The sequence below is a fragment of the Homo sapiens genome, chromosome 20 (genome assembly GCF_000001405.40).
Source record: "Homo sapiens chromosome 20, GRCh38.p14 Primary Assembly".
In the NCBI taxonomy this organism is placed as follows: Eukaryota; Metazoa; Chordata; class Mammalia; order Primates; family Hominidae; genus Homo; species Homo sapiens.
The window spans coordinates 10,169,825-10,193,426 of NC_000020.11; the positions used below are offsets into that span (position 1 = coordinate 10,169,825).

Here is a 23,602-nt window from a genome sequence, read left to right on the forward strand (position 1 = left end):
CTTTGTTTTGTACATATCCCCCACCCTGAGTGTAGCCTCAGAAAGGTGGACTTTGGTTCTCAATTATAAGAATATATATATTCTTTCTAATAGCATCATGCTGGGCACTGTAGTATCCAATCCTATAGTGCTTACAAGGCACTTTATTCCACACTAACTCATCTGACCCTCACAATGGTGTTCTCAGTTGGATAGGATGACCCTAACTGTTCAAATGGGGACTCAGAGTACAAAGGAGGTCACAGAGTTGGTATATAGAGAAACCAAGACACAAACCCAGTTTTCCTGTCTCTAACTCTGGGAATTATTTCTTTGCATCATGCTATTTTAAAAAGTACTAGCACTGCTGAAATTCTTGGACTTTCTTTATAATACACAACCTTAGAAGAGAAAGTAAATCATTGCTAAGGAAAGGAACTTTTCTTAGCTCAAAAAACAGCCTCAAGAGGACTGAACCTCTTAGAATGCTCGTCTTTGCCCAGATGATCACCAGCCACACTCCAACATATTGATACAGATTTTATGATTTTATAATTTTGGGTTCAGTTGGCAGGACTCACTCTTCCAAAAATAGCTTTGGCCTTAATGGGTAGGATGAGCTGCATTACAAAGGCCCTCAACTCCATAAAATTTGGCATCCAGCCAAGCCTTCAAAGGTGACTAAAGAAGAAATATCAAGAAAGACCAGAGGTTGGTACTGCCTTGTGAACCTCTCAACATCTATTGGAACTTATCAATTTTATAGATATTCACATTCCAAAGCAAGGAGCATTTGAGCTTTTAGAGAGATTAGAAGACCCTAAAAAGTGCATCTCGCTCAAAAGGTGTCCAGCTTGTCCAGTGGTCATTGTCCAATCTGATTCCATTTCAAAATCATTTCCATATAACCAGCTTGATGGTGAGATTCTTGAAAAGTTCTAGACCAGGAGGAGGAAATGAGGGTTTGGTTCCTGGCTGTGCCACTAACCGACTGCATGAAGTTAAGCAAATTATGGGGCCTATTCCAACCTCGTTCTTTTTACAGGTCTGACACCTACAACGTGTCAGACACTGGGAATAGAACAGTCCACAAGACAAAGTCCTTGCTCTAAGGGAACTTACCTTCTAGGGAAGATATATGATAAACCAATACATAAATATATAATAAGGACATGAAAGCAATAGAGAACAAAAGTGCTGTGAAAAAGATGCTGTTTTGGATAGGATGGTCTTTTGAGCAGTGAAATAAAATAAATATCTGAGGGAATAGAGTTCCAGGTGGAGGGGACAGCAGGAAGGCCATGAAGTTGGGGTGCACCTGGCATCTTCAAGGAACAGGGAGAAGGCCAGTACTTCTGGAGCAGAGGGAACAGCCGGGAGAATGGAAGGCAAGGAGGTGAGCGATAACAGGGGCCCAATCCTGGAGGGTCTTTTAGCTTTGGTAATGACTTTGGATGGGAAGGCAGTGGGGGAATCTGAGCAGATGAGGGTATGAACTGACTTAGGTTCCCTGAATGTGACCTTGGCTGCTGTATGAAGGACGGGCAGCCATTTCCTCATCTGATAGCAAACTGGTATGGACCAGAGAAACGAGAAGCTTCCCACTGCCACTCTAAGAGCTGAGATTCCGAGTCATATGTTTTACTGAACAAATTACTGCCCATCTTGGTTGAAGCCCATCGGGGCCTGAGCTAAGTCTTTGATCCCAGAGGCCAAGGCAGCACCATTCCTCGCCATTAGCCCATGGCTAGTGACCCGGGAGGTACAAAGTCAATCCTAGCTACAGCAGGAACTCCTGCAGAACCTGTGACCCTCATAGCCAGGGGGTCTCAAACCAGCGGGATACATCTCAGAGTGGCTTTGCTGCGACGTACCTTTGGGTAGTTTGAGACTGAAATGACTCTAGTCACTACTTTTCATTTCCATCCTTTCTTCCCTAAAGGTCAACTGGAAAGGCAGCCGGCTGAGAGAACTCGATCTCTGTCCAGCAGAGATTATTTTGTGGACGCTCAAGGTTCTGAGAGCTTACTTCCTTTTTCTGGGTCACCTGCTTGGTGTGAATTCATCCAAAATCATCCGTTTATTTTTAGAGCTATAAATTATATCTGCATTTCTACTCTCCTGCAGAAATTCAAGCTCAGAGCTTGGGCAGGGGCCCTGTGTTTGAGGCACAGAGACTGGCAAAGCGTCTTGCCTCCCACCTCTTCTGAAGTGAGGCCTCTGCGCTACTGTGTCCCAGCCCTTCAAAAATCCTGAGTCATTTCACTGTTTCTGTTTCTCCCCTTTCCCCAGCAAGCTTCCTGATGCAAAGGAACACCGGAGCGGGGCGATTGCCTCCCTAGAGCTGGGCCGGCCACCCCCACCCCTCGGGCTGCTAAAGCAGCGGGCCGGGCGGAAGGTCGGGGAGCCAGAGCCCAGGGAAGAGCAGAAGGCGCGGGGGGGCGGGGGGGGCACCCAGGAGGGAGGACGGGGCAGCGGTGAGGGTGTAGACGGGAGGGAATCTGTCCGGTGCCGCAGTGAGTTGGGTGGCGGTGATTTGTTCGCGGGCGCAGGCTGGGAGGCGGGGTTCCTGACTCACTGCGGCACTGGCAGGGCTGGTGACAGCACCACCCCCGCGCCGCCTGCAATCTGCCACCGCTGCCACCGAGCCGAGGGGCGCCAGCAAGGCATCCCCTGGGTCAAGGGGCCTCCCGTGGGCTTTCCAAACAGCCTGTGCTCATTTCCGCGGGAGCCCTCGGGGCGCTGTGCTGTGGCTGCATTGTCACTGTTTGTTTATTTCTACATCTGCTCTGTTAGAAGATAGGCTCGCTTAGGACAGAGCCTTCTAATCCACCCCCTGATGAATTCGGGCCCTCGCCTTTGGCACAATGCCTGGCGTCATCACAACGCGGGTGATCAGTAAACGGCAGCGAAGGAAGCGGGGTCAGGACTGGAGAGGAGAGGGGGAGGAAGACAGACGACCGGAGAGGAACAAAAATGGAAGGTAACTTGAGCTTTCATAACTGCAGAAGTGCAAAACAGCTCCCTGTGTGATATAGGAAGTAAAACCGTAGAGATGGGACTTGGCTGGCCTGCCCTTCACACACTTTAGACATTAACCCAAAGTTCATGCTCCTGCCATGACAGTGATGGTGGACAGGAGGGAAGAAAATGACAAGGAGGAAAGGAGGTGTCTTTTGCTCTTAAAAATGAGAAGGGTCATAAACAATCCATCGGCTGCAAACCACGAGTTGCCCCCAAAGCAAAGCAGGTTAGTGGCTGCTGCCGCCTCATCATAGCTTCAGAACCCACAGAGCCTGGAGGACTGTCAAACATTATCTAATATCCCATTCTACAGAAGAGAAAACTGAGGTTGAGGCAGGAACGCAGACAGGAATCAAGGTTTTGGGGTTGGGATTTGCAATCCATTACTTTGCCTCCTGCATCCACTGCTTTTCCCTGGGCATTCTCTTCTTCCGGTTTCTTGGAAGTTAAAATTGCGAGAGAAGCAACACAGAGTGGTTTTCCCAGGGCCTCGACCTCGGTAAGGGAAGACGTGGAATTCCGAGTGTGGAGACCCAGACAGCCTCCGAAACCCCCACGCAACCCTGGGCGTTCAGCAGCTGCCAATGCCCGCCTGACAAGTTTCTGGGGCATCTCTGCACACGGAGAGGTGTGTCTCCTGCAGCTCCAAAAACAGATTTTGCCATCTCATCCCCATATTTGCAGTCTCCAGTTGGCTTCTTGTGATTGGCCAGAACTTTTCCTCACTGGAGAGATGAGGAGAATCCAGTCCTCCAACCAGCTGAGAGAAAACACTGCAGTAGCAGAGATAGCAATGGCTGTTCCACCCCACACTGATACGATGTCAGGGAGCCAGGGGTGGGCTCAACAGGCTGAATGATGCCAGGGACTCCCAAGGGTCTATACATTTAACCCTGGAGGAAGTGGCCTCTGACCAGGTACCTAACCTTCTGTACTTCTCGTTCTGTAATTGGGGGCATCAGAGTGTATTCTTTGGCTTTCTGGAAAAAAAGATTTCTCAAATTTTAATTTCGGAAGTTTCCATCAGGACTGGCAGCTGTGTACACAGAAGGAGGTTGCTAATGTATTTCAGATTGGGGGCAATTACAGCTTCCCACCTACCCACCCCAATCTATTCCCAGATCACTGCACCACACTGACTCTTGGCCTCCTCTAGAGTTGGAAACTCTACCTGAGAGATGCACTCCTTTAAACTAACATAAAACCTAAACTAACAAAACCATAGCACTTCAAGGTATCCTTAGGGTAAGGTTTAATGACCTATTAATATCTCTAACACAGCAATTCTCTTGCTTGGCTATTCACTAGAAGCACTTGGAGAATTTAAAATAACACTGATGCCCAGGCCATACCTCAGACCATACCTCTAGAGGTGTTTTCTAAAAGCTCCCCCAGGTGACTATAACAACAGTAAGACTGAAAACCTCTGCTCTCGTGGGAGCTGCTAGTTTGCTGGTCAGCATCTGTTCTCCCTTCCACTAATAGCACCTGATGTTCCTTTGGAAACCCCACTCTTTCTTGGTCCACTTGATTGAGTTACACTAACCCCATCATCACCTCCCATTTACTTTTTTCAGGGAATAGCAGGCTACCAGTTTGGCCCCTTTGCATTTTTCCATTCCCCTGAAAGAAGTAATTGGTTCAGGCAGAAGATGTGATACAAGGGGGTCCAATGAAAATCAGTCTCAAGACTGGCTGAAACTATTGGGAAGGGAAAGATCTGTTTCTGCTGCAGTTATTTAGGAGAAAACATGGGAGCCTTGAGCTTCCAGCAGGCATTTTGCCACCACATGGAGAAAATCTGCTTGTAAATTAAGGCAACATAGAGGAAAAGAGATTATTCATAGAGTGAAAAAGACTGAAATCTAATTAATACCACTTCTGAAGCCAGATACTTCCAGTAACAGATATTAAATCCCCCTTTTCACCCAAGAAAACTTTGAACTGAGTTTTCTATGATATGCCGCATCATAGCAGAGTTAATCTGTTGCTTTAAAATGCAGAGAATAGAGTTCTAATCTAATATGACAGCAAACAAGCAAGCTTCAACATTCCTGGTCAAAGATTCCAGATAGCTAAAGACAAGTGGGTGCTGTCCATCTTCAAGGATAATGGCTTTCAGTGGAGAAGGGTGAGGAAACTGAAGACAGCAATGTTCTACTACATGTTTTTTTCAGTTAGTATCAAGAGTTATTGGTAGCTTAGCCTTTGCTAAATATGAAAGAGCTTAAGAAGTAAAGAGGTTCCAACCATAGGAACCTCTTTTAACCGTAACTATAAGAGCTTTTATAATAGCTCTTATAGGTTTTTATAGTAGCTCTTATAGGTTTTAACCATAACTGTAAGAGCTTTTATAATAGCTAATATAGCAGTGATGTATAGGAAGTACACAGAAGCACACAACAGACCATCAAGACAATGCATTGGATGTTTCAGATTCCCTTCTTGGTCACGGGAGATTCCCTGGAAAATGTGCCCTCTGTCTGAAAGTGCAAGTGAAGCCAAAGTAATTGATTGGCTGCATTTTAGATTTGAAAGTTTTTCCATGAACAATTGCCATGTAACAAGCTACCCCTAAATTTGGTAACTTAAAAAATGATGTGTTTGACTTGTCTTTGTATAGACTTGGATAGCTTTTCTGGGCTTACCTGGGATCTGCAATTGGCTTCTGGTCAGCTAAGTGGCTCTGTGTCTGAACTTGGCTGGCTCTTGGCTGGGGCAATGGGAGTGATGAGCTAATGTATCTGTCAACCCTTCAGAGCCTAGCCTGGGCTTATTCACATGGGGGAGGCAGGGTTCCAAGAGTGAGAGCAAAATTGCACAAGGTCTCTTGAGATTCGGACTCAGAACTTGCTCACTGTCATCCTGCCACATTCTATTTGTCAAAGTGTGTCACAACCCCATTTTTTTTTTTTTTTTTTGAGACAGAGTCTTGCTCTGTCACCCAGGCTGGAGTGCAGTGGCTCAATGTCAGCTCACTGCAACCTCCACCTCCAAGGTTCAAGCGATTCTGCTGCCTCAGCCTCCTCGGTAGCTGGAACCACAGGTGTGTGCCACCACACCCGGCTAATTTTTGTATTTTTAGTAGTGGTGGGGTTTCACCTTGTTGGCCAGGCTGGTCTCAAACTGCTGACCTCAGGTAATCCACCCGCCTCGGCCTCCCAAAGTGCTGGGATTAGAGGCATGAGCCACAACGCCCGGCCACAACCCCGCTTCTTGATGGAAGGAGCTGCAAAGTCACATTGCAGAGCACCAGTAAGAGCTCAGAGATCATTTAGCCCAATCCTCCCCATTTAACAGATGAGAAACTACAGACACCGAGCTTACCCAAGTCCCCATTTGATTAAATAAATTATATAGGATTATGCTGCCTTCCACACTGATACTCTGTCCACACTGATGTTTTGTCCACTATATCTCCTTTTTCCAAGTTATTTCCCATACGATGTAGCTCATGTCCATTATCATAAGATCTCTGCGAAGTGGTTAGGCAGAAATTGCCTAAATGTGCTACCTAACAATGGAAGAAACTGATACTCTTCTTCTCAAATTCGCCCATCAAATATATAGGAATTCTTTTCCAGGAATGGGCACTGGAGTCACAACAGAAAGCAGGGCAGACATAGATCTTATCTGTACAGAACATAGAGTTTACCATTTAAGTGGTGTCACTGGGACTTCAACCAAGACTGTATGATTCCTCCTCTGGATGTACTTTTCACCCACAGTGGTTGTTATGGTTCCCTGAAGGCTAGTTCGTCTATCAAAGCCAGTTGTTTGTATTTGTGACGGGGCAATCCATATTAATTTACAGGGTTCTCAGCCTCCCCTCATCCCCTTCTCTTCTCCTTGTGAATGAGAATGCTCTGTTTGATCACTCAACTTTGTGTATTCCCCACTGTCTTTACTGGGTAAGGTCCCAGGATTTGTGGTGGTTGACTCTGAATAATGGGAAGATAAAGTTTAGAAGAATCAGGAAGAAAAAAGTAAGAGAATGAGACAGGAGAACCACATAAGATTGGGCAGCAAAAAAAGCTGGGGTGCAGAATAGAAAGGAAGGGATTTGTAGAATGAATAAAACTACAGGCCACATGAAAACTAGAGAGAAGAAAGAATGTTTTAAAATACTGTACTGAGTTATGAACTGAATCTCTTATTTTTCTTCCAGATACAGAAGTGAAGTTTGATCTATTTTTTATTTTTATTACTATCGGCCACTAACTTAGTTGGTTTTTAATGTAACACTTTGGCAGGCCTAAACCACATGCAAACTGGGTAGTTATCTGGAGCAAATTTAATTAAGAATCATTATGTCCCCTGAAAGGACAACCAGAGTTTGTGCCTTCTCTAAATACTTGGTCCAAATCAAAACATCAATTGTCCTTTTCTTAATGAAAAAAAAAAAACCTCAACTCCATACTTTATTCTGGTTTCATTGATTTTTCCCGAATAACATTTTTTCTGTTTCAACATCCTAATTGGGATACCACATTGTATTGGTTTGTCATGTCTTCCTAACTCCTCTGGACTGTGGCAGTTTTTCAAACTCTCCTTTTTTGGGGTAACCACAAAAGTTTTGAGGAGAGCTAGTCAGGTGAAATGCCTTTCAATTGGATTTTTCTAAATTTTTCTTTTCATAGTTACACTTGAGTTATTGTCTTCCCACAGAGAAAAGACCACAGAGGCAAAATGGCATTTTAAACACATGATATCAAGTGTGCATATCATCAACGTGACTTATGACCAATGACGTTAACCTCGACCATCTGGCTAATGTGCTGTTTGCCAACTTCTCCACTGTAAAGTTGCTTCTTTCTCCCTTTCCATCCTGTATTCTTTGGAATCAAGATGCTAATTGTAGCCCACACTTAAGGAGTGGGGAGTTCTGTCTTTAACCATAGTGAAGAATTTTATTTACTGGAATTTCATTTAAAGTTGGAGTGGGAAGGAGGATGATTCTCAGAAGAACAATAGTGTAAAGAACAGAAGAACAATACTGTAAAGCATAAGGGGTGAGGGAGTTCCCATATTATAAGCATGATGGGCAGAAATATTGCAGAGTAGGGAATGAAGAAATGGGAAGCCACATGCTGGTGAAAGGAAGGTTTGGAAAAAGAGAGAAAATTTAGCAGTTGTTCTCACTGAAAAATTTTGTGAAGAGATACCTAGAGAGAATGTTGTGAATGTTTTCTGAGCAACTCACTGTGAGAAGCCCCTATACTACATCTTTGAGAAAACTTACAGTAAAGATTTACATTCATCTTCTAGGTACCAGAAACTACACTGTTATCTTGTCCAGGCAAAAACTGGTCCACAAGAGAGTCCTATCATATTTGGGTTGTACCAGCAAACAATAAGTTGGGCTGGGTCTAGATCTGAAATGAAAGATCTGTAATCCAAAGACCAGATCAAGCATATTGTTTAATTTCTTCAACCTCAAGGAACTTATAAAATTGCTTATAGTAGCAGATTTTTGCAATGGCATCCATTAGTTCCACAGCAGTTTCCCATTATTTATCTAAACATGCAAGGGGTAGAGTGGCTAATAGTGGGATCTTTGGACTGTCTTGAAGATTGGACTCTTTTGTTAATTTTGTATTCCTCGATTATTGCTTATACATATATTGTACTCCATTGTGACTCATATTTTTTGGTCATTACTTTTTACTTACATATAACCCATAACGTTTTTTATGTATGTTTCTACTGCAGAGAGAAAGATTATTCCCCCACTCAATACCTATTAACTGATTGGCTGCTTTATGGTTGCTATTTCCATTCTGCACACTTGTGTTGAAAGATAAAGCTTCGATAACTTACAAGGAGCAGTTTAGCAAGTTGAAAGAAACTAGATGTAGGATCCATGTGTTTCCACAAAGGATATGCAGGCTTCAACTAGAAAGATGATTTAAGTGTTTAGGGAAGAAATAAGCATGTTCTAACAAGAGTTTTGCAGTCAGCAAAACAAGGTATGTGGTAAATAGGTCCTATCTTGGGAATTGCCAGAGCCCAGAGCTTGTGCTGTTGGCCCATCCAAGGAAACCAGTTAAATTAACTGTCTGGAAGGCATCCACAGAGATCCTTGGCTGGGAGGCAGAAGCAGGACATGGAACAGGTGCCCCTTTCCACTATTCCTGGGCACAAAGTCTCATTTCCAGCACACGCTGTGGCAGCAGGAGATGCAGTAAATCAACCAAGCTTCATTTCATCTCAGAAGTCCTCTGTGTACTAATAATGCAGGGAAACTTAGCTCATGAAGGAAAGAAAAAATAAATAAATGCTGACGGTTGTTAGAGCTAGTCCCAGTGATAAGCCTGGAACAGGCAAATATTCTTAGTGATTCAGACAATTACTATTAAACAGAGGCCAGTTTCCAAGTGACGTTGTGGTGCCAAACACAGCTTTTATCATTTTTGATGAGATTTTTATGATGCTTGTTATCTGCCAATATTATTAATGTTGTTAATGACATAAAAAAATTAGCATTTGCCACCTGTGTGCCAGAAGGCAGGCCTTCTTCCTTCTTTGGTCTTTGTTCTCACTAGTTTCATAGGCCATCTTTGCTTTGAGAAGGAGCAAAGTTGTCAGCCTAGACCTTGTTTGAGTTCTTGTCTGAAATATACTGGTCACCTAAGTGCATAATTCAAAGAAGCCTCCAGCTTGGTAGCTCCTGGGCCTCAGTCCTTCAATTTGCCTTTTAAGACTGCTGGGAAATAATAGCATTCAGTTAGCTGTTACTCTCACATTAGAAAAGTAAAATGAAGTATTCCACAGAAAAAAAATAAAATATTTTGTTTCAACATCAAAATCTTAAGTGGGATTGGATATGAACCCTAGAAGAAGACCATCTCTGGGAAATCCCTATTGCAAGGACAGAAGCAATAAGATTCTTAGCCAGAAAGAAGCGATCCTTGGGCCAAATGCAGTGCTGCCCCCAGTGGTCTGGATAGCAATGCTCTGTGAGACCAGCAGCTTTCAGTCTTGGGAAGAACTCAAATCTCCATCAGATAAAAATGTCTAAACTGGCCCATACCCGTATTATCATGGGGTGGACTTGGGTGCCGTGTGGACTGTGCAGGCCACATTTGGGTTGGTTAAGTGTCTTAATCTGCCCTGTACCCATAGCTAATGTATCCTTAAGTGGGAAAGGAGAGACAGATGATAGATAACTAAATACAACTACAGTCTGCATCATTCACTAAAGCAAGTCAAGTGACCAACCCCAGATCCAAGGAGTGTGGAAATAGACTCTGCTCTAGACGCTACCTCATAGAAAGAGGAATTATGAGATCACCTGAAAAAGGATACATGAATACAGGGTTGGGCAAAGAATTAGGACAAATGGTGCAATCCATCACTACCAGTTTAACATCATCTCTTTCAGATTAACTCAGTCTCATTTGGGCAAATAATTAATCACTTTTTATTCAAATGCTCTAGAAGGATTGTTATCTCTTCCTTCTCAGTGGATCTCACAACCTGATCTTTCCTTCTAATACAGTGTTTGGGAACAGGTAGAAGTTTATGTTCTTACCTACATATTGTTCTCTGCTGGCTCCCAGTGACCTCAAGTTCAGATATACCCTACCAGGGAAAACTCTAATTTTGCTGCATCTATTGCTGATGGGTCTTGTGTAATTTATAGTCTGTCCTTGCTGAATTGTCTTTCTTTGGGGGTCTTGGTGTTGAAATTCCTCCTCTGGGACATGGCAATGATTCCCATTCAACCTAGAGCCTGAGTGACCCACCCTACAGGCCTCTTCTACAAAATCACCACATTCTTTACTGAGAGTCCTTTGGTGGAGTCATAAGTCAGTTTCCTGGGGCATGCAGGAAAGTGAATTCTCTGTAAAGCATTCTCAGGCTAAGGCAGGCGAAATAAGCTTTCTTGGTATTTAACACTATCATGTGTTCATTTCTTTTCTTTTTTGACATCTCCCTGTTGGCATAGGACTCATCTTAAGGTCTTTAAATGTTCTAGGATCTGCTGGTAAAAGTGAGGAATAATTTTCCCTGTTCTGGCATTCCTCCAAAACTGTCTGGTTATTTCTCCCACTGTATCATCTTGGATGCTTTTGGCTCTAAATAACAGAAACCCTGACTCAAACTGGATTAAACAAGAAAGAACGTCATTATAGCACAAAATGAAAAGTCTAGCATTAGGTTTGGTTAATTCAGGGGCTCAGCAATGTCAGCTGGGACATGGGTTATTTCCATCTCTTCACTATGAAATCCACACTGTTGACTTCATTCCAAAGCTGACTTTTCTGCATAGCCAGAAGTTGGCTGTAAATAGTACAGTAATACCCCCCTATCCAAAAGGGAATTGTTCCAAGACCTCTAGTGGATGCCTAAAACTGCTGATAGTACCAAATGCTATATATACTATCTTTGTTCCTATCCATATATACTATGATAAAGTTTAATTTATAAATTAGGTACCATAAAGATTAACAACCGTAAGTAAAATATGGGTTAGTTGAACACAAGCACTATAATACTACAACAGTCAATCTGGTAGCCGAGAGGACTAAATGACTAATGTGTGGTAGCATGTACAATATGGATATGGTGCACAATTTAAAACTTGTGAATTGTTTATTTCTCAAAATTTCCATGGAATAGTTTCAGACTGTGGTTGACCATAGGTAACCGAGATGCAGAAATCAAAATAAAATCATGGAGACGGGGGGAATGACTACTGTATGGAGAGCCTGCTTCCTCCATCACCAATGGGAAAGAAAAATAGAAAACTTCTCTGTAACCTTGTATTTAAAAACTTTTCCTCCATCTTCATTGGGTCATCTCAGAACAAGTAAGAATGGACAGAGGAATACCATGTGCTGACTGACGAACGCCTGGGTTTCTGAACCAATTGCCATCAAGGGGATTGGGATTACCATAATTTTTGCTGAGACTAAGCCCCACCCCAGTAACCAAAGGTGAGTTCAGTTTCTCTGGTCACTATGGACTGTGTGAGGTAAGATGGGCAGCTATCAAAATAGTCAGTCTATCAATAAAGAGCAGGCAAATACGAAGCTAATTGCTCAAAAATAATCATCTTAAGTGATCATCTAAAACTATCTTTCTAAAGGTTTTGTCTATCTGCTAGAAGGAACCAGTTCACTCATATCTGACCTCCTGCCCCTCAGTTTCTCTTTCTCCCTCTCTCTTTCAGTGGTGGGAAACTTTCTACTCCTTTCTGTCTCATTGAAACTTTCCTTTTAATGTAAGCTAAGTTTTTCTACTCTGCTTTACAGCGAAACTCTGTGTTCAGTCTCCACACATTGCTCTTAATATGTAAAGAAAGGCTTAACTATTTTTAATTTTTTCTTTGCTGACAAAAGTTAGCTTTCTAAACTTTTGTTTCATTCAACTTTTAAGTTGTGATTCAGTGACACCTCTTATTGTCTAGGGGCCCCTGCCATCCCATGAAAATACATATGCCAGTGACTTAATAAGTAGAGAATGGCAAGGCAGTAAGAAAAACAGGTCAACAGGAAATTCAGAATACATGAAAAAAAAATGGGCTGGGCTAGATGGCTCATGTCTGTAATCCCAGCACTTTTGGAGTCTGAGGTGGGAGGATCACTTGAGTCCAGGAGTTCAAGACCACCCTGGGCAACATAATGAGACCCTGTCACTACTGAGAAACAACAACAACAACAAAAATTAGCTGGGCATGGTGGCAAGACCCTATCTCTACTAAAAAAAAAAAAAAAATAGGCACGATGGTGTGTGCCTATAGTCGTAGCTACTTGGGAGGCTGGGATGGGAGGATCACTTGAGCTTAGGACTTCAAGGAAGGTTGCAGTGAGCCATGATTCTGCCACTGCACTCCAGCCTAGCCAATAGAGCAAGACTCCGCTTCAAAAAAAAAAAAAATCTATCCCTATCACACCCCTTCCTGGTTTTTCCTCCAGGTACAGAGAATTAGAGCCTTCAAACGCAGACATTATCAATTTGGTCCATGTTGCTTAAGATCCAATTGGCTTCCTTCCTAGCAATTATTATAATTTGTAATTATTTGCAATTATGTCATTTTTTGTCTGCTATTTTATTGCCTATTTCCTGCACTAGAATGTAAGCTCTATGAGACTTCAACTATATTGTTCATTCACATCCCTAACATCTAGTAGAGAACCTGGCATGGAACAGGCTTCCTATAGTTATTAGTTAGATGAATGAATGAGTAAATTTTCTCCTCCTAAATTGAATGGTCTTACACAGTTTAGCACTTTCAGGCCCATTATGGTAGCTGACTCTCAGAATGAGGTTACTCTGTCTACCAGATAATAATAATAATAGTAATTATTCAACATCAGAGATGTTAAGTGATTTGCTTAAAGACACCCAGTAAGTGTGAAATATGAATCTTAAACTCAGGTCTTTCTTTCAAGTCCTATATTCTCTCCATTTTTACTTGTCTTAAAGTTCTCCAAGTTTAAGAACCATTTTAGCATTGAGAGATGGTAGAAAGCCTTCTCAAGTCAAAGTGAATAGGGTGAGCCAAATTAGGGAAGGCAACAGGGAGCATTCTGGGAGAAATCCAGTGGTGCATTCTGGGAGCCCTTTCATGTACTTAGCCTCATCCAATGCCCAGGGAGATGTGAGACTTCCCGCAGCCCACAGGGCAAGCTTTTCCCTGCCTGTGTTTGCCTGCAAAAACAACTACTACTGCCTCTAGCAACGTCTGGAACCATGTTCCCTGCATAATAAGAAAGTATAAATGGAGGACACAGTATTGAAGTATTGAAATCACAAGATAAGGAAGATTAAATTAGGCTCTGCCTTCCTGAAATGCTCCCAGAGCTAGAGCTACATGGGAGCAAGGCCAGCTACCAGATCTTGGGGCTTCTCCTTTAGCAAAGGGGAAAATCCCCGGCCCTGCAGGCATTTCAAGCTCAGGGATTGGTGGAGGCAGATCTGTCAGGAGCCCCGGTAACACTACAAACCAGGAGGGAAGCTGACAGGAGGACAAGCAATGCTGGCATTTTCCTCCCTTGGAAATCCCAGGGACTCTAACACCAGAGATCTGAGGCTGATCTGATGCTCCAGCAACTATATAACCTCCACCCTGCCTGAACAGCCTCCTACAAATAGGAAACTATAAGATTTGCATTATCTCAGAATAACCATTTGTAGGACTAGAGTCCGTCCATCAGCAGTAACTGTTCTTACTCAACCTTGATAAAAGCTTTGCCAGATGAGTTGGGCTCTGTTTAAGTTTACTAGGCCTGCCATAACAAGGTAATACAAATTGGGTGGCTTAAATGTAGTATCACAGTTCTGGAGACTAGTAGTCTGAGATCAAGGTGTTCACAGGACCATGTTTTCTGAAACTCTGGGTAGAATCCATCCTTGCCTGTTCCTCGTTCCTAATGGTGGCCATCAATTTTTGGCATTCACAAGCTTGTAGCTGTGCTATGCCAATCTCTGCATCAGTCATCGCATAGCATTCTCCCTGTGGGTCTTTATCTTCATGTGATGTTTTCTTCTTCTTATAACAACACCAGTCACATTAGATGAGAGCACATACTAATGACCTCATCTTAACTTGATTGCACCTGCAAAGGTACTATTCCCAAATAAGGTCACATTCATAACTACCAGGGGTTAGAACATCTGCATATCTTTTGGGGAACATAATAACCCACAACAGGCTAATATTACTATATCCACTTTTTGGAGGTAGAAACTGAGGCTCAGAGAAACCAAGAGATTTATGTAACATCACTGTGGTGAATCAATGCCATAATGGCCCCAATATTTTTCCTGCCTCTCTGAATCTATCTGTTGGTAGTACATTTCCCTGCTGATGCTGGGCTTGGCCATGTGACTTGCTTCAGCCAATAGGACAGAGCAAGTGTGATGCCAGCAGAGGCCTGGAAAGTGCTTATGCACTAGGATTTCTTCTCTTGCATACTCTGGAACACCGTGACCATTGAGTGAATAAACCTAGGCTAGCGTGTTAAGTGATGCGTGACCATGTGGAGAGAGACTCCAATCATTCTCATGTCACTATATGAAATCAATCAGCACCAGCCAAACCTCCAGCTGACCACAGATGCATGACCAAACCCCACCAAGATCAGGCAAGCTCAACCTGAATCAGCAGAACCCTTAGTTGATCCATAGATTCATGAACAATTATGAGTGAATGGTTGTTTTGAGCCACAAAATTTGGGAGAGGTTTGTTACACAGAGAAAACTGATACAGTCACATAGGTGTTAAATGGCAGAGCTGGAACGTGTAATCACTATGTGACCTGTTCATACCACACAGTTCTGAATCAATGGGATGGTGATTCATAATTTTCCTGTTGGCCACAACATGAGTTTCCCATGTGTCCACCAGCATCGAGCCAATATACAGAGCCTGTAACTATATTAACTTAAATATTTTGCTTTCCTTCTTTTTATTCCTCCTTCTCTAAATTATGAATAGAAAGTTATGAGTTTGCCCTTTAATTATGTGCTTTCTGGCTATGAAGAGATTGACTAAAATCTATGGTGTTAGTGGTGAAGTAAGCAAGAAAAGGAAGAGAATGAAGGCTCTGTAGGTGAAAGAACAGTCATCTTAAAAACCAGTCAGTTGGCCCAGTGTAATGTAGCATTTGCCTGCCTCAGTTGCGTCCCAGGGCAGACGGAGAGTTTAATCCTTGCCCCTCTCATATGAAATAGGCCACCACTAGGATCCTCAATATATTTCTTTTTTTAATCTCTCTCTCTCTTCTGCAGGCTTATGGGTGGAATGCAAGCTATTGGAAGTATTTGAAGATGTGACCAAGGAAGCTATGAGAATTGGAAATGAGGCAGTTGTTTAGAAACGGGCTGATGTGCTTGTGGTAAGGTGGAAGGAGGAAGGCAGATGAGGAAAGGAATGTGCAACTGAAGCAATTAGCTGTTACTATGTAACGAACCATCCCAAAACGTAGTGACATAAAACAACAACCATTTGTTATTTCTCATGCGCTTACATTTCTACTAGGAAGTTCTGCAAATCTGGATTGGTCTTGGCTGATCTTGGCAGGGCTTGTTCTGGCATCCACTCTCAGCTGCTGAATTAGCTCTCAGTTCCTGGTTCAGGGTGGCCTTGGCTTGGATGACTTGGCTCTGCTCCATGTATCTTTCACATCCTTCCAGCAGGCCAGCTCAAGCCTGTTCTCTAGATTGTGGCAAGGATCCAAGGGAAAGAGAGAAAGCCAAAATGTTCATGCCCTTTTTTGAGCCACTTTTTTCAATGAGTTGGCTACTGTCTCCCTAGCTAAACACATCTCAGCCAAGCCCAGAACCAGTATGGAAGGTCACTAACCAAAGCTGTGGGTAAATGGAGGCATGGAAATCTGTGACCTTTAATGCAATCATCTACAATAACAAGCCAATGACCATGAAGCTGGACAGAGAAATAGATTCCTGGGAGGAAGAATAGCAAAATGTCTGGAGTAAGAGGAAGTAGGGTATTTCAGGGAACTCAGCAAACAGTGTGATGACAAAATGAAAGCACAGTCATGCAATCAGCACCTGGGTAAATATTTAGGTTGGAGTCTGTGTTGACCCAGTCTGCAGGTAACCCTCAGCCTGGCCCAGCATTTCACTGCCCTCCTACTACTTACCCAGAAACAACTCTCCTGTATTGATTAAGCAGGAAAGAGGAAACTCTCCTGGAAGACACAAGGGCAGATCCAAGCAGGAGCTAAGGTTTTCCAGAATGTGGTCTTAGGTCTGTGAATGGCTTTTGGACAGAGGCACAGCTGAACATTCCCATGGTTTCTGTGACTTTAGAATCACTACCACCTCTTGACTATGCACCTCTTGACTAATTTCTATTTCTCAAATTATAGAATAAAAAATGCTGATTCTAAGGATAAAAACACAACAAATAATCCAAAAGTATATAAGATGAAAAATAATAGTGTGAGTTCTATTCCATTCTCCAGAGAGTAACAACTGCTCTCAATTTGGGCACTTCCTTTCTGTCTTCTTCCTGCACATGTACTTTTTGCATATGTCCTTTGCACGTTCTTAACCATACTTGGGTAATGATGCCAACATCACAAGCATAACTTTCTGACAGCCCAGAAAGCCAACCTTGTCTTCTTCCTTGTTCAACCCTTGTGCCATTTTGCCCTAACCAGAAAAATACTCCACTTGGTAATGATTCTCTCTCTGTGTCTGTGAAAAATAACATTGGAAAGTCTAATGTGGAAATGTTGAACCAGGCTGGGCATGATGGTTCATTCCTGTAATCCCAGGACTTTGAAAGACCAAGGTGGAAGGATGGCTTGAGCCCAGGAGTTCAATACCAGCCTGGGTAACATAGTAAGACTCCCATCTCTACAAAAAATTAAAATTAACCAGGCATGGTGGCATATGCCTGTAGTCCTAGCTACTCAGGAGGCTGAGGTGGGAGGATGGCTTGAACCAGGAGGTCGAGGCAGCAATGAGCCATGATTGTGCCACTGCATTCCAGCCTGGGTGACAGAGTGACAGCCTGTCTCAAAAAAGAAAAGAAAAGATACAAAAGAAATATTGAATCAAAAAATATAGGTAAAAGTGAAACAAAAGGAAATTTAAAAATAAATATGTATCAATAGATAAAAAATGGTAAAATGAACAAGATGTGGAAAATGTTGTAGTCTCTACATCTGGCCTAATATTTAATCTAAGAATCTAATGCAAATTTCTTACATCATGAATAAATATGGATGATGGGCCTACAGATCAGATACATTTTAATAATGAGCAGACTAAGTGAGGCCTCATACCTCTCATCTCCATGTGTAACCTAATTAATCGGGCCATTTCAGTTGCAGAACACTCACTTCCATAACTGTCTTCTACTTCAGAAGTGTGTGTTTCAGTTAGAATTTGATTTGGGTGCAGATGCCTATGATAGACAATGCAAACAGTGACTTAAAGAAATAAAAGTTTATATTCCTCTCACATAAAAAAAATTTAAATTTAAATAGTGCAGGGCAGATTTAGCACTCCACGGTGCCAAGAATATGAGCTTCTTTTATTTTGTTGCTCTTGGCCTTCACTTTATGGCTCAAAATGGCTGCTGAAACTCCAGACATCAAACCTGCATTCCAGCCTGCACAGTAGAGGAAGGAAGTAAAGAAGGGTAAAGGCTCATTTTCTAAGGAAATTGCTCATCAGCCTCACACAACACTTCCTCATACACTGCATTAGCCCAATTTAGTCATATGACCACACCTATCTGCAAGGAAAGCTGAGAAATGTTGTTCTTGTTCTCAGGGGAGATGTATGTGCCCAGCTAAAAATAAGGTGTTCTGCCACCAAAGAAGAAGAGAAAGGGGATATTGAAGTTCAAGTGGTAATCTTAGACATATAAAGCCATCAAAATTATTTCCCCCCCAAACCCTTTTGAGAAACTGAGTGCGTAAAGATAGATTATGACTGGGCACGTCAAACTTGTTTTAAATATACAATTGGCCAGGCACAGTGGCTCACACCTGTAATCCCAGCACTTTGGGAGGCCAAGGCGGGTGGATCACCTGAGGTCAGGAGTTTGAGACCAGTCCGGCCAACATGGCGAAACCCTCTCTCTACTAAAAATACAAAAATTAGCCGGGCATGGTGGCATGCCTGTAATTCCCAGCTACTCAGGTGGGAGGCTGAGGCAGGAGAATCTTTTGAAACTGGGAGGCAAAGGTTACAGTGAGTTGAGATCACACCACTGCACTCCAGCCTGGGTAACAGGGTGAGACTCTGTCTCAAAAAAAATAAAATTAAAAAATGAAATAAAAATACAAATAAATATACTATTTTTTTCAAAGGATAGAAGGAGCATTGTCTACGTTAAATAATGCAGAAGATTTTAACTGATTGCAGCCCAATTTGTTTCCATATCCCCAGAGGCCATCCCAACCCAGAGGCTTTCCCATAGAACCGTGGGGAAAGATCTCAATTGTCTACACTCTGGCTCTGAGATAAGGCAGCGCTCTCTCAGCCCTTTAAAGGGGGAGAAGGATGTTAGTTCTATTCCTTAGGCAAGAGGGCCTCACCTGTGGCCATTCAACCCCAGGTTCTGCAAGAGTGAGAAGCAGAAAGCCTACTTTGCGTTGCCTCTACCTGAGGAGAAGAAGCCAGGTGTGCTCTCAGATGGTCGGGGTAGTGCTTGGGAAGATGTCGGGAGGACCGCGTAGAAAGCTGAGAGTGAGCTTCCCTTTGCTCACTGGCTTCTCAGCCAAAAACCGCTGGAGTGGAAGAGGGACATTATGGGCCTGCAGCAAACTCTCTCTCAACCTTCAGTTTCCCAATGTATAAAATGAGTATGATGAAACTTGCCTCATAGATTCATTACAAGGGTTGTTTAAAAAACATTTACCAAAGTGCCCGCTGTATACCTCCATTTAATGCATGCAAGTTCCTTTCTCTTCTTCCTTTTGGAATAACATAACCTGATTGTAAGAACATGTTTCCACAAGACAACATGATGAGAAATGTTTGGCAAGATCTAGAATTGCAGTATGGTAGCCACTGACCACATGTGGCCATTAAGCACTCCAAATGTGTCTATTGTAACTAGGAACTGAACTTTTAATTTTATTTCATCTTAATTCATTTAAACTTAAATTTAAAACCTGCTGCTTGATTAGAGTATTGAAAAATATTTAAACGTATTTGGAACAATTTGGGTATGTGAATTTCCTCTTTCAACTATAAATCTTACAAAATCTAAACACAGATCGAGTATTCCGAATTAAAATTTAACATTCAAATTAAAATGTGCTACATGTAACAAATACATACAAGATTTCAAAAAATATACTATAAAAAAGAGAATGTAAATAAAGTCATTGATAATTTTTATGTTAATAACTTTCATGTTGAAATATGTTGATATATTGGGTAAAGTAGAATACAATATAAAACTAATTTGTCCTGTTTCTTTTGACTTTTCTGATGTGATGATTAGAACATTTAAAGTTACATAAGTGGTTTGCATTATATTTCCAGTGGACAGTGCTAAGCAGAGGATAGCAAATAATCATTTGGATTGAGTCTTCTCACCAGACTGGCTAGTGATTTTGGCCTTGCACAGACATTTCATTAATTAACCGAGCACCTATCCTGAGCTAGGGATAAAGTAGCAGTTGAATCAGAAATAAGCACATAAGCAAACATTGTAAATAAGACAATTTCTGATAATTATCATAAGCAGAAGGAAGGAAATAAAGTAATAAAAGAGAGAATAATTACCCAGAAATGGAGCTGGTTTCTTTACATGGGAGGGCAGGCAGAGAAGGCCTCTCAGAGGAAGGACATTTGAGTTGAGATTTGAAGGGTAAAGATGAGCTAGAAGTGCAAAAGTTTAGATGAGGGGAACATTTTACAGAAATATTAAATGGTTGTGCTCAAGGTCAGATAGCAAGCTGCTAAGTCAGACTAGCATTATATACCCAGACTGATCTGTGCCTAAGTCTGTGATCATATCCATTTGTGAGAGATGCTAATTTCCACTCTGACAAAATTGTTGACACTAATGAACTGCCCTCCCCCTTCCCCATTATACTTCAGCAGGGTATTGGTGGGGCATTTCCCAGTTATATTCCTAAGAGCAGAAATCGAAAACAACAGTTCTATACAGGTAGGCATATGTCATATCTTGGAGAAAAGCATCCTTTCTACTCTTTTCAGCCTCTTGACTTCCTATGACAAGAACCAATTACAAATACTGCAGAGCAAGAATCAATGAAATAAAGAAATAATGGGAATGATTTCTGAGGACAGGAATTAAATAAGTGTGTCTTTCCAAAGCTATGACTTAATGGGGTCAGGATAACAAGCTCCAGGAATAGAAATGTCCTAATGGGAAAATAACGGCAATTCTGAAAGAGGAATAGTGGGGATTTTGGTGTAAGGGACTAACCATCATTACAGTCCCATGGGAAGTTATTAGATCTGGAAAGGTAGGCATCCCTTCATGCTTCTATAGACCGAAAAAAAAAATGGATGTAATCAGCCATGTCGAGTTACAGAATTTCATAGGCAAACTAATGATGGAGCACCAATTTTTTCTCAGACTTAGGACCTCCAATATTTTTCTTTAACTCTGGGGGCTGCTGTGAAGTTACAAATATATGGTATGGAGCCATTTAAGCTCCAGATCTTGACCTTTTTTTTTTCTGATGCTGCTGCTAAGAGTCCAGAAATCTGGTCAGCCTTTGCTTTACTTCATAAGAAGAGAAGAGGGCTGAAAAAAATATTCATAGACACCAAAGTGAAGATGGAGAAAGATGACACTGGTGTTACAGGAATAAGCCTGGAGCTGAAGTGATTGGGAAGCCCAAAAGGACATCAAAAGTTACAGGATTTAAGACCACAGCCAACGTAGCTGTGTCAAAAGAATAATTCAAGTTTTAAAAACTGATTTTTGTTTAATAAGAAAAATTATATGTCTACCTCAGAACTCTTTCTTTGGCCCTAGGTTTGTAAATCCAATTTCCCACTTGACTTCCAACCCCAAATAGAAATTAGGATATTTTATTGTCACCCCAAATGGAACATGGCTAAAATAGAACTTTGGGGTTCTATGCCTAGCTTTTCCTATCTGGGGAAATTGACACTACTTAGTTGCTCAAGGCATACCATCCCACATCCATTTTATCACCAAGTCCCGTTCATTCTGCCTCCAAAATATATTTAGAAACTTTGTCTTCACTTAACCTCCAGAAAAGAGGTTAGGGTTAGGGTTTGGGTTAGGGTTAGGGTTCAAGTTGTCATCATCCTATGTGGCAGCAACAGTCTCTTAACTGGTGCCCTGGCTTCTCTCCTTGACCTCCAACCCCCAATCCATTATTCAGATAGCAGTCACAAGCCTACCCAGATCCAGGGGAGGAGATATAGACCCCCAAGCTCTCAATGAAAGGAGTATCTGAGAATCTGTGGCCATTTTATTCTAAACTGCTGCATTCACTCTTACAGAAATCAGTCTCCATCCTACCTGTTGTAGAGCACTTCTGGCACTCTCACTGCTGCTGTCACTGGCCTTGACCAATATGGAAAAAAAAAATCCACACCAACTTCATCCTTTACAACGTCAATATTTTGCATGGTTTACCCACAGAAACAGGGCAGGCCTCTGTTGAAACCTTAAGGTTTTAATTCAGTCCAGTTCTGTATGTCTTTATTGTTAGCTCTAGTGTTTCAACCATTTATTAGTCAGATGGCCTTTGGCTAATTATTTAGTCTCCCTGGGCCTCAGTTTTTTCATCTGAATTAAATGTCCTTGTATCTCATCATTTCTAAGTGCTTTGCAAGTCAGCCAGCTCTATGAGAGTTCAGCCATTGGCTATGCTCACAGGCCATTGACACACAGTTAATAATAATTTTTTAGTTGCATTAGTTTTAAGAGGGCTTGCTTCTATTTCAACTTTTCACAGAACATGATGCAAACCTCCTGAGGATCTGAGCTGTCTTGCCTCCCTCCTCCCCAGCATCTTAAATTATTCTTACCAACTTTTGATGCTTTGATTGTTTCCATAGCCAATTTTCTAAAAGCTGCTTTCCTTTTTGACCCAGCCAATTTGTCCCTATGCCAGTTTTCCAAGCAAACCCCTATCTGATTTGGCCTTCTAAAAAATTTCTGCAAGGTCTTCTTTTCTTTCTAACTGTTCCAATTTTGTTCTTGAGTCTTCTTATTCAAAAGAGGCTTCTATACCTTTTATTAGCGTACATTTCTAACAAAAAGCAGTTTCTCTTGTTTGAATTTTATTTTGCTCTGTGTTAAATGGACAATGCATGCTAAGGCAGAAAACTAAATTCCTTTTACATATTGGAGATTCATTTAAGCTGGGATAGAAGACAAAGATAATAAATATTTTTCAAAACTATTAAAAATTTTAAAAATCAATCATGATTAAATTGCTTACAAAGAGAAGGAATTTGTTTTGTTTATTTTGAAGCCTCTTTTTCTAAATTTTGGCTCTGAAATATATATGACTATATCACACATATATGCAAATGAAAATAATAAAAGTAAGTTCTAATGAAAAGACATTTAGCACATTTAATCAAACTAAACCACTTTGAGGCATCAACAATCCAGAGGAGTAAGGCTATGTGTGTGTGTTTTAAAATTTTTATTGCAGTATAACAATGACATAGAAGAACACACAAGTAATAACTATGTGATCTGATGAATTTTCACAAACTTAAAACACTCATGTAACCAGCAAAAGGGTTATCTTATTTAAAAAGTCTCACTGATGGGCTCTTGAGAAACACCTGTATAGTTGTCCTACCTTGTTATTAACTTTATGTAAGCATGAGGCTGTCTCTCCAACTCAATGATATATTCTACATGGCCGGATAGTAGGACTGTAGTTTATACCACACATTTTTTCTAACATAGTGGTAGCTAAGTGCCCTGGAATGAGGACACCCTGAGTAAATGAATATGAACTATATCAGACTCAGTTTATTAAACATTAATACACACAAATCTCTGCTCCACATGCTTTCGATTCCTATTTTATCTTCTATATCACTGGCCTTTGCTTCTAAGTCTTTTTGCTGTCACCAACCTCACTGACAAATTATTTAATCAATTATTGACAAAATGCTTAAG

General features: G+C 41.7%; 2 long non-coding RNA genes across 6 annotated transcripts in view; one reads left to right on the forward strand and one right to left on the reverse strand.

Annotated features, from left to right (window-relative positions):
• Nucleotides 1-23,602, reverse strand: part of SNAP25-AS1 (SNAP25 antisense RNA 1) — a 195,695-nt gene that overhangs the window by 146,013 nt on the left and 26,080 nt on the right. The window lies entirely within an intron of this gene.
• The window catches only part of LOC105372524 (uncharacterized), a 28,402-nt gene continuing 7,404 nt past the window's right edge, over nucleotides 2,605-23,602 (forward strand). For 2 of the 5 annotated variants that reach the window (NR_187933.1, NR_187931.1), the window contains exons 1-2: nucleotides 2,605-2,962; nucleotides 11,814-11,945. This is a non-coding gene — a long non-coding RNA (uncharacterized LOC105372524). Of the gene's footprint in view, nucleotides 2,963-3,687; nucleotides 3,921-11,813; nucleotides 11,946-15,744; nucleotides 15,852-23,602 lie in introns of all 5 variants that reach the window. The other 3 variants (NR_187930.1, NR_187929.1, NR_187932.1) reach the window with 3 other exon arrangements.